The sequence below is a fragment of the Homo sapiens genome, chromosome 5 (assembly GCF_000001405.40).
Source record: "Homo sapiens chromosome 5, GRCh38.p14 Primary Assembly".
NCBI classification, from domain to species: domain Eukaryota; kingdom Metazoa; phylum Chordata; class Mammalia; order Primates; family Hominidae; genus Homo; species Homo sapiens.
In genome coordinates, this window is record NC_000005.10 from 98746857 (window position 1) to 98759625 (window position 12769).

A 12769-nucleotide genomic window follows, 5' to 3' on the forward strand; every position below is an offset into this window, starting at 1 on the left:
AAGAATCAATATCATAAAAATGGCCATACTGCACAAAGTAATTTATAAATGTAATGCTATTCCTATTAAATTATCAATGACATTCTTCACAGAATTAGGAAAAAAACTAGTTTAAAATTTATATGGAACCAAAAGAGAACTGTATAGCAAAGACAACCCTAAGCAAAAAGAACAAAAGCTGGAAGCATCACTCTACCCAACTTCAAACTACACTACAAGGCTACAGTAATCAAAACAGCATGGTATTGGTACAAAAACAGATACATAGACCAATGAAACAGAATAGAGAACTTAGATATAAGACTGCACATCTACAGTCATTTTTCCTTTAAAAAACCTGATGAAAACAAGCAATGGGAAAAGTTTTCCCTATTTAATAAATGGTGCTGGAAGAACTGGCTAGCCATATATCGAAAATTGAAACTGGACCCCTTCCTTACACCTTATACAAAAATTAACTCAAGATGGATTAAAGACTTAAATGTAAAACCCAAAACTGTCAAAACTCTAGAAGAAAATCTAGGCAATACCATTCAGGACATAGGCATGGGCAATGATTTCATGACAAAAATGTCAGAAGTAGAGGGGCATGGTGGCTCACACCTGTAATCCCGGCACTTTGGGAGGCCAAGGCAGGTGGATCACCTGAGGTCAGGAGTTTAAGACCAGCCGGCCAACCTGGTGAAACCCTGTCTCTACTAAAAATACAAAAATTAGCTGGACATGATGGCAGGTGCCTGTAATCCCAGCTACTCAGGAGGCTGAGGCAGGAGAATCATTTGAACCTAGAAGGCAAAGGTTGCAGTGAGCTGAGATCGCGCCATTGCACTCCAGCCTAGGCAACAGAGTGAGACTCCATCTCAAACAAAGAAAAAAAAAAAAGTCAAAAGCAATTGCAACAGAAGCAAAAATTGACTAATGTGATCTAATTAAACTAAAGAGCTTCTGGACAGCAAAAGAAACTATCATTAGAGTGAACAGACAACCTACAGATTGGGAGAAAAATTTTGCAATCTATCCATCTGACAAAGGTCTAATATCCAGAATCTACAAGAAAGTTCAACAAATTTACAAGAAAATAACAAACAACCCCATTAAAAAGTGGGCAAAGGACATGCACAGACACTTCTCAAAATAAGACATTTATGCAGCCAACAAACATACGAAAAAAAGCCCAACATCACTGATAATTAGAGAAATGCAAATCAAAACCACAATGAGATACTATCTCATGCCAATCAGAATGGCAATTATTAAAAAGTCAAGAAACAAAAAAATGCTGGTGAGGCCGTGGAGAAATAGGAACACTTTTACACTGTTGGTGGGAATGTAAATTAGTTCAACCATTGTAGAAAACAGTGTGGTGATTCTTCAAAGACCTTGAACCAGAAATGCCATTTGACCCAGAAATCCCATTACTGGGTATATATCCAAAGGAATATAAATCATTCTATTAAAAAGATACATGCAAATGTATGTTCATTGCAACACTATTTGCAATAGAAAAAATTGAATCAACTCAAATGCCTATCAATGATAGACTGGATAAAGAAAATGTACATATACACCATGGAATACTATGCAGCCATGAAAAAGAAAAAGATCATGTCCTTTGCAGGGACATGGATGGAGCTGGAAGCCATTATCCTCAGCAAACTAACACAGGAACAGAAAACCAAACACCACATTTTCTAACTTGTAAGTGGAAGCTCAACAATTAGAACACATGGACACAAGGAGGGGAACAACACACACCAGGGCCTGTCAGGCATGGGGGCCAGCGGGAGGGAGAGCATCAGGATAATCAACTAAGTATATAGGGCTTAATATTTAGGTGATGGGTTGATAGGTGCAGCAAACCACCATGGCACAGGTTTACCTATGTAACAAACTTGCACATCCTGCACATGTATCCCAGAACTTTAAATGAAAGAAGGCAGGCAGGCAGGCAGGCAGGCAGGCCGGCCAAGCCACATGTTGTGAAGAATAGTGAATACCCCTAGTTGGTTATTTCACCATCCAGCATCTATTCATGTTCCTCTGGGTAACAGTGCCCTGATGCTACCTCTCCCTCCCTCTCAGCACATAGGCTCCAGGTGAGCCTCCACATTTAGCTTAGGGGTGACAGTCAACATGTCACATTACCCTGGGATGTATTGATTGGTTCAGTGATGCGCACATGATTCAATTAGAGACAAAGAAATATTTCTAGGAACCCTGAGACAAAGGTTCTTGCCTTTTTGCATGGGATTTGAAAACCAGACCACAGAAACCAGAAAAATCTTGGAAAGATTTCTAGGATTATAAATTTAAAAACAAAAAAAGTAACATTCCTGCTGGTCATGAGGAGAGAGCCATCCTGGGGTCAAAGTCAACCAAGACAATGTGGACATGAGAGACAGAAAGAAAGCCCCCAGTTCCAGTTGTCATGGATTCAGCCTCCGGATGCAGCTGGCCTATGTATCTGTTGGTCAGTGTTATTTTGAAACACAGCTTACAGAAAATAAAATAGAACCACAGGAATTTTTCTCTATATTATATAATCTTGTATTTTCTCTACTGTCACCAGAACCTATTACTATATCTCTTCCCTTTTTCTTCACTCATCTGTGAATCACAATCATCTTTATTTTCTGTGAGTCTATTCATTCTACCCCTTTTCAAATGTACTTATGATGCAGAATTGTCTTGTTTGCGGGCCTGTCTCCCTTCTGAAATACGAGTTCCCCCAGGAAAGGGGTTATGCCTCATTAATTTCATATCCACCAGCCTACATAGTTTAATTTACAGAACATAGTAAGTGCTCACACTAATTTTGGGGACAGTGTGCAGTGTTGTGGAGAGAAATTTGAAGCAAGCACACCTAGGTTCAAACTAGCTACTTGTCTAAATTACAAAACATCTTAACACTGCAGAATCCTCACGTAAAAAATGGGCATAATAATGTATCTTCCATCATTGCTGTGAAAATTAAATAATGTTTGAAATATCCCTATATGATGCCTAGCTCACAGAAAGTCCCCAATAATTATTAGTTTTTGCAACCCCATTCCCAAAAAAAATTGTATAAGTTGATAATTCAAGGAAGAGATAATGAGAATATGATAAAAGACTGTTATAAGCAAAAAGACCAAATTTAGGAGATAATGTGAATGTAAAAACAACAATTTTGGGCAAAGGACTAAATAGAATGAAAAACACAGACAATTAAATGTAATCTAGAAAAGATTTGAGGACTCAGAGATGCCAGTGACAATTTCATCATGATGTGGAAAATAAGCACAGACCATGTTATCAGGTTGTTAAGAAATTCTTCTCTAAGGTTGTAATGATATAACTAGCGGTAGTAATGGTAAACCGTAATTTAACTGCTGTGAACTTCTTAATTAGTCAGAGGCTAATTCTCTGTTAGGGCCTCCATCAGCCATTCCAGTAATTAATTGCCCAAATTAGTTGTAATCATTGAGTTCATTGATAAACAATTTCATGATAACACGGAGCACAGGGCAACAAGAACGAAAATGAACTGCTAAATATCCAAACTAAGTGTATTAGTCCATTTTCACACTGCTATAAATAAATAACTGAGACTGGGTGATTTATAAAAGAAAGAGGTTTGGCCAGGTGTGGTAGCTCACGTTTGTAATCCCAGAACTTTGGGAGGCCGAGGCAGGCGGATCACTTGAGGTCAGGAGTTCAAGACAAGCCTGACCGACATGGTGAAACCTCATCTCTGCTAAAAATTCAAAAATTAGCTGGGCATGGTGGTGCACACCTGTAGTCCCCAGGAGGCTGAGGAAGGAGATTCATTCAAATTCGGGAGGCAGAGGTTGCAGGGGACTGAGATCACACCACTGCACTCCAGCCTGGGCTACAGAGCAAGACTCAGTCTCCAAAAATAAGTAAATAAATAAGGAAAGAGGTTTGTTTAATTGACTCACAGTTCCACATGGCCAGAGAGGTCTCAGGAACTTAAAATCATGATGGAAGGTGAAGGGGAAGCAAGGACCTTCTCCACCTTATGGCAAGAGAGAGAAGTGCAAGCAGAGAAGCGCCGGATGCTTATAAAACCATCAGATCTAGTGAGAACTCACTCATTATCACAACAACAGCATGGGGGGGAACCACCCCCATCATCCAATCACCTCCCTCCCTTGACATGTGGGAATTACAAGATGCGATTCAGGTGGGGACACAGAGTGAAACCATAGCACTAAGATCGAGCTACCCAGTAGAAATTACCTTAGTACTGCTTAGTTGATACTATTCTCTCACTAACTACTTGAGGTCTCAAGTCTTCCTGTGAAATTTCCAATGAACCCTTATAATGAGGTTTGCTGACTGGAAACATCAAAAATAAGTCTAAATATCAAAGTAAAGTGTAGGGTGAAACATCTGTTCAATGCATAGACAATGCGGATCAATGTGGGAGCTATCTTAGCCCATTAATTTCTTTTTTATTATTAGAAAAAAGTTAAATTTAACTATGACAATGCATTTCCACTGAGGATGCGAGCAGTGCCAATAAGGGCCAATGAGATCATTTATAGATTAGCTATAGTATTAACCACATCTCTGTTCAATCAACATAAATACATATACACGATTTAGACAGAGTGTAGCATCTTGGCTATGGAACTCTTGACAAATGGGTATTTATGGATGGCTAACATTTCTTGAAAATTAACTTCATACTTGTACACAGCCAAACTCTTTTATCTTAATTTTATTAGAATCATTTCCAAAATAAATCACTTATTTGCCTGACTCTTTCAATGAAGAATATTAATAACTCAAGTTTATCATTATAATGATTATTAAAGCCTTCATTTTCATAATCATGAGATTTAATAGTAAGTCAGTGACCACTGAAACCAATCACCTTCTAAATGCTTAAGTCACCTGATTGACAACCTGCCAAGATGCCATCTCCCTGAACCTGTACCCATTTACTTATGACAGCTCACTTCTTTCTTTGGCTGCCTATTGATTTTTTCAGTTTTGTGAATTTATTGTGTATATTAAATCAAAATCAGTACCTTTATACTGGTTACCTTTTGGTTTTAGTGCTAACGTTCGGGGCCATTCAAATTTAAACCCTTTTCCAATTAGAGTTCTTCAAATATCTGAAAATAATTATCATGGTACACAAAGTCTTCTCTTTTTCTTCATTTCTCATTTGCTTCATGAATCATTATTGTTTACTTTGTGCTGGACCCTACTCTAGATGTTGGGAATATATGTAGTATTAAATAAGACCAATAAGTTTCTGCCCTCATCAAACTTACTGGTGTAGAAGATAATAGACAAGAAAATAAATAAGCAAACAAGATCATTACAGATCACAGGAAGTATCAAGAAGACACTAACTAAATAGGGTTCTGCTCTGGAAAGTTACTGGGAGACACTGAGTGCATAGGGAAGGCTCCCTATCCGACCAGAGACCTGAAAGTTAAAGCTCCACCCAGAAGAAAAGCCAAGAGAAAAGCCCTTTAGACAGAAAAAACAGTAAATTAATTCACTGTCAGAGAAGGAAACTCTCAAAATCATCAAGGAATATGAAGGAGGCAGCTGTGGCTGGAGAGGTAAGAGTCGGGGGGTAAAGGGCCTGAGATAAGGGGGAGAGGGAGGCAGTACCTGATCATGTAGGGACTTGGTAGAAGCCTTCCATTCCCTTCTTTCATGCACGTCCGTGAGATGAGACCACCAAACAGGCTTTGTGTGAGCAACAAGGCTGTTTATTTCACCTGGGTGCAGGCGGGCTGAGTCCGAAAAGAGAGTCAGCGAAGGGAGATAGGGGTAGGGAAGTTTTATAGGATTTGGATAGGTAAAGGAAAATTACAGTCAAAGGGGGGTTGTTCTCTGGCGGGCAGGTGTTGGGGTCACAAGGTGCTCAGTAGGGGAGCTTTTGAGCCAGGATGAGCCAGGAGAAGGAATTTCACAAGATAATGTCATCGGTTAAGGCAGGAACAGGCCATTTTCACTTCTTTTGTGGTGGAATGTCATCAGTTAAGGCAGGAACTGGCCATCTGGATGTGTACCTGCAGGTCACAGGGGATATGATGGCTTAGCTTGGGCTCAGAGGTCTGACACCTTCCAAATGCAATGGCAAGTGACAAACATGACAGCAATAAATCTGAGGTACATTTCTGAAAATCACTCTGGCTTCCTGAACCTTACAAATTCCTGTAACCATTTCTCACAGGAATGATTGCTTCTCTAATCCTGCTCTAGGTATTCTACATTCTCCTCCAGAAGGGAGTCTGTAAATGAAGGCAGAGCTTTCCATGTGATCTGATCATTCAAAGTTAGGTGAAAATAATTACCTCAACTCCTTTAATGTTCTCCTCCTTTACTTAATACAACTCAAGATTAAGATTTCCTTCGGGGTATTCCAGGGATAGAAACCAAATAAGCTTATCAGAATCTAAAGTAAATAAACCCTATTTGAGGGCTTAAAGGCAGCAATTCTCAGTCTTGCCTGCCCATTGGAAATATCTGGGGACCTTCTAAAAACCCCTAGTGTGCAGACAACATCCCAGACCAATTAAATCAGAATCTCTGAGGGTATTATTTTTCAGATCCCAAGATGATGTTATTATGCACTCAAAAGACAAACACCACGAGAGAATGGCTAGCACTGTGCTCCCCAAACTTTAATATATAGACAAATCATCCGAGGATCTTGTTAAAAACATATCCTGATTCAGTAGGTCTGGGGTAGGCCCTAAGAATCTGAATTCTTAAATAGCTTCCAGGTGATACCTTTGCTACTCGTTTAAGAACTAAACTTTGAGTAGCAAAGGGCTTAGCCCAAAGGTTCTCACAACATGCACCAGAATCACCTGGTGGCAGGAAGTTGGGGAGGGGCAGTTGTTAAAACACAGGTTGCTGGGCCCCATCCTCAGAGATTCTGATCCAGTAGATCTGGGATGAGGCCTGAGAATTTTCACCTCTAACAAATTCTCAGGTGATGCTGTTGCTGTTGGACCAGGGACCACACTGAAATCCACTGGACTAGTCGATTAGCAAAAACCACGTGAACTGTAGTCTTTCAAGTTTGGAGCACAGACTTTATAATTTTAACTTCCATTACCCAGGATGCTTTTCACCTATTTTCATTCTTCCCTGAATTCCATTTGGGCACACTGTTATTGTACATTCTCCTGAGGAAAATGCTAGCTAAAAGGAGTTTTATTTGGGGAAGGAGAAATGTGACAATAATAGGCCAGCAAATGTGCTTTGGATGAGGAAAGGGAAATGTATCTGAAACACTGAAGCTTCCCCTGATATGTCTTATCACTAAAAGCAGCTTAGGCTAAATTTTGAATTGTCTCTTTCTCATAGATTTTAGCTGTAGTGTGCAAACAGTTTTCCCATTTAACAAAAACTTTAATGTTCTGCATTATGTTTTCATTGTGTGTCTGCCTCTCTGATTTCTTGTTTGCTTTGTTCCAATGCATCTTTGTGTCTCTTTCTTGTGAACATGCTGCATAATGCAAACTAATAAAAATATATGCCTCCAAAGTGTGGAGAGTTGAGTGCCACAAATAGAAAATAAAGTGAATTGTTCTTCCAACATCAAGTGTTTCTCAGGAAGCATTTTTTTTTCTGAAGAATATTTTTCCCTCAGGCTGATTTGCATACCAGGAAAGTGACATATATATTATACTTCATCTGTTATATATATTTCCAAGGTGACATCACTTATTGTTTTCTTTGTATTATGGTAGGACAATTATTTAAATTGTTCTATTAATAAAATGTGTTTTAAGTAATGAACCAGGGCATCTCTATTTTCCCTATATAAATGTTTATTTACTCAATAAATAAGTTTCTGTTCATGTCTAGGACTTCAAAATAATATGTGATAAAATATCTATAAAGTAGATATTTTTAAAACTACCACACTTAGCAATTTTCTGTGCATCAGTTAAGAATTCATATGGTTATGATATAATCAAAACCTTTTTTAAAAACCCTAAAACAATTATGATACAATTCACCTCAAAATAGCATAGAATCTTATAGCTCTAAATTGTGGTATGACAATGGTAGCAGCAAACTTGTCAAATCAGATGAGAGAGTGCAGGATTAGAAAGCTCCAAGTGTTCTATCAATCACTTATTATTCCCAGAAAAAAAGGGACAATAATAGAAGATATACTGAGACAACATAACAGGATTTTTTTCTCCTATTTAATTTAAAATGTCAAATTAGTTTTTAAAACCCTCTCAATTAGAAATGTACTCTGAAGGATAACCAAAAAAAGTCCCTTTGAGCTGTATTTTATTGTTATTTTTAAGAAAATAGAAACCAAAGTTTTGGCTTGAAGACTTACCTAGAGTAAATCTATTCTGGCAGAAACCCAAACAGATACTAGAAGTTTCACATCAGAAAATGGGATTTGATTGACATCCCGCTTGAAATCCATCTTGATAGTTTAAGAAAATCATTGAGTTAACAGAGAGTGCCTTGCAAAAACAGTACAGAAAAACCAAGGAACATTCTGAGACTCAGATTCCATGAGATAAATGTTAGAAAGGTAAATTTTGGGCAATGAGTTCAAGATACATGGCTTCATTATTTCTTTATTGACTCACTGGGATTACCCAGTATTGACCAGCAGCAGGAGTCATAGCTGGAAATGCATTCCCAAAGTCACTAGGTTATGAGTATTGCAGGTGCATGCGATCTGTTTGTTTGTTTTTAAGTGAGTTTGTATTTGCGGGCAGCCCTTGGGGACAATTAGAATTTTGGCAGCTGAGAAGGCAAAATGACTAACAGGACTTGCAGCCAAAATAGCTTTACATAGAAATTCTTATGAAAGCCAATACTAAGTATACACAATTTCGTCTATGACTAAGATCCTAGAGATGGAAGAAACTAAAATTAAATTATTGGTTAGAATGACATTGCTATAAAAGAACATGGCATTTGGCCCCCCTGAAAAAAATCAAACCCCAAAAGTAATTATAAATGTAAGGTATCCTGACTGGGAGAAAATGCTACTTAGAGTTCCACAGAGGTCCTTTAGAACCCAGTATCATTCAACATTTTTATTAACAGCTTTGAGTGGAGATGTTAATACTAATCAAACTTATAAATGGTTAGAATTACAGTGTTTTAGAAAATTAAGATTAAAGTCGAATATAAGCATGAAAAGTTTGAGAAATGGGTGAAAAACGATAAAATGCAACATTCAATAAAGGAAAAATGTGAAGTGGTTTACACAGAAAATGGTGAGTACTACAAAACACTAACAAGAACAAAACACTGAAAAGTATGAGAAAAACGGAAAGTATCAATAATGTGTCACTAACACAAAAATGCTATATTTTATTCTTCATTTAAAATAGTATTTAATACATTGAGTGAATTTCATTTGCATCACTTTGCTTTAGGACAAGTGAAATTTGAAGTTCATTGTGGCAGAATTATGTAATAACAGATAGTCCAATTACATCATTCAGAAGAGAATAGAGGAATTAATAAAAGGTTAAGAAAGAAATACCTTCATGGCAAAAGTTATAGAAAGTTAGGCTGGGTGCGGTGGCTCACGCCTGTAATCCCAGCACTTTGGGAGGCCGAGGCGGACAGATCACGAGGTCAGGAGATCAAGACCATCCTGACTAACACGGTGAAACCCCGTCTCTACTAAAAATACAAAAAATTAGCCGGGCATGGTGGCAGGTGCCTGTGGTCCCAGCTACTCGGGAGGCTGAGGCAGGAGAATGGCGTGAACCTGGGAGGCGGAGCTGGCAGTGAGCCGAGATCACGCCATTGCACCCCAGCCTGGGCGACAGAGCGAGACTCCATCTCAAAAAAAAAAGAAAAGAAAGAAAGTTAATAGTCCAGAAAAAGAAAAGGCAGCAAAGGGGAAATTATAGAACTCTTGAGTAATACATAAATAGAAAGTAGTAGTAAGTGTAATGGTTAAAAGACTTTTTAGAGCTATACGTATGGGTTTGCATCTAATATGGTTTGGCTCTGTGACCCCACCCAAATCTCATTTTGTAGCTCCCATAATTGCCACATGTTGTGGGAGGGACCTGGTGGGAGATGATTGACTCAATCATGGGGGCGGGTCTTTCCTGTACTGTTCTCGTGATAGTGAATGGGTCTCACAAGAGCTGATGGTTTTAAAAGCAGTAGTTTCTCTGCACAAGCTCTCTCTCTTTGCCTGCTACCATCCATGTAAGATGTGACTTGCTCCTCCTTGCCTTCTGCCATGACTGTGAGGCCTCCCCAACCATGTGGAACTGTAAGTCCAATAAACCTCTTTCTTTTGTGAATTGCCCAGTCTTGGGTATGTTTTTATCAGCATTGTGAAAACTGACTAATATATATCCTACCTCTTCAACTTCTTACCATGCACAAAAAAATAAAGTCATGATTTAGTAAGTTTCCTCAATTCTCTAAATTTCCTTATCTGTAGAATATAGAAAATGAAGGTATCTAGGATTGGACAATTGTTGTGAGAATTAAGTGTGATAATACATTTAGTGCAGAGTTTGCATTGGTTTCTGGGTCTCATTTCCTTCATTAATTAATCAAATTTAGTTAAAATGATGCTTTTCTAAAGTCGAAGAGAGGCAATGCTAGAGTAGATCCCAAATAAGAGTGTTTTGTTTGTTTGTTGTTTATTTTTGTTTTTAATTTTCTTTCCAGAAAAACCAAAGGAAGGAGATCACCAAATATAGATTATTTTAAGACCAAGTTATCCTTTCCCTCAAAATAAAGGGAATGTTCTAACTCAGGTTCCCAAATTTGCAGACAAAGCTTGTTTATGATATTTTACCTTTCAGAAGTGCCTTTTGTCCTTGGAATATGGATTACTCTTACTCTATCTTCTGTGCCTTAAATTAAACTTCTCAACACATTCTTTCCTACCTAAACCCTGTATATTCTCATCTTTTCTCATTCCAAGATACATATAATCTGCAGTCTACTTTTTTTCCAGCCTCTTCCCTTAAAGGTCCACATTTCTTATCACTTCTCTGACCACTTTGATCAAACTTTGGCTTTCCTGGATGTCATATGAAATATGAGATATTCTATGAGGAGTGTTGAGAGGACTTTGGGAGAAATCTAGACCAAGAACCTGTAATGTTATAACTAAACACACCATTCCATGTATTTTATTGTATGTAGTTATCAAAAATATTTTCATGTAACTTTAAGAGAATTTACTAAAGAAAGGTATAATTTTCCTAATTTAATGTACATCTAAGTGTCTAAAAGGGAGAGAACACATCATATATGTAGATAGGTGTGAATATGAAGTCAATCATGGTAAGCGCCTTGCAGTCTTTCATGATTCATGAAGCCTGTCACTGAGATACAGGATATCTGGTGGCAGGTGAAGGCTCCAATTTTGTTGAAATAGATCGTTTAGTACTGTGAAGGCTGTTAAAAATGAAACTATTTATATAATAAAAAGAAAATAATTCATTGCCTACATCTGTCTGCTGAAATTTAATAAAAACTGGTTATTCAAATGACATATTTTTACATGCAATGTGAGAATTCAGGGATGGATGCAACAAACACAAAGAAATAATGGAGAAATTCTCACTAGGAGTTTGAACAAATCTTAAATTTAGTAAGTCCAAAATTAAACTCGTGCTTTTCCCCTGACAATGTTTAACTTTATCTTAGCCCTGTGCTCTCACTCGCTTGTGTTCAAATAAATGGGGAACCACAAAGAACCATCCCGCCCTTTAATATTCCAAGATAACCCATCTCTACCTTCCTTAATGACTCAGTTAAGAGCCCTCTCAACTCCTTCTCACCATTCTCAGAAGATAACCTGGTGACATTCTTGCCTATCTGCCCTTCATGCAAGGCCTCTTTTCTTATCTTTGAGATCATCCTAGTTAATGAACTATCTCCCTATTACAACAGACTTTATAAAACCATCCCCTTAATTGTCTGGTGCATTTTGTCTAGAAAAACCTATTTCAACTCTTAGTTGATGGCAAATCCAATTTTTTTTCTTTTTTTTCTTTTTTTTTTTTTTTGAGAGAGGGTCTTATTCTGTCTCCCAGGCTGGAGTGCAGTGGCACAGTCACAGCTCACTGCAGGCTCAACCTCCCTGGGCTCAGGTGATCCTCCCACCTCAGCTGCCCAAGTAGCTAGGAACACAGGTACACACCACCATGCCCACCTAATTTTTGTTTTTTGTGGGTTTTTTTTTTGTAGAGATGGGGTTTCACCATGTTGCAGAGGCTGGCCTTGAACTTCTGGCTCCACCTTGGCCTCCCAAAGTGCTAGGATTACAGGTATAAGCCATAGTGCCCAGTGGCAATTCCATCTTGATGGCAGCTCAAGCCAAAACCCTGGAAGTCATTCTTGACTCCTCTTTTTCTCAAGCATCCCCATCCAATCTACCAAGGAAGGAATCCTTTTGGTTTTAACCTCAAAATACATCCGGAATCCTATCACTTCTAACCAATTCCGTTGCTAACCCTATGGTTTGAGCCATTACCATCTCTTGCACAGATTATTTTAAAAACCACCCCACAGGCCTCTCAGCTTCCACTTTTGCCTGGCTATAGTATATTCTCAACAAAATTACATGAATGAACTAAAATTCAGATCATGGCATTTATCTGCTCAAAATTCTCCAAAGGTTACCAACTTCAGTCAGAGTTCTTACAATGGCTTAGAAGTTCTCTATGTTGTGGTTTCTCCATGACCTCTCTGAACTCATCACCTACGAGTCTCACTTGAATCTGACAAAACTAGCCTCTTTTCTCTGTCTTGA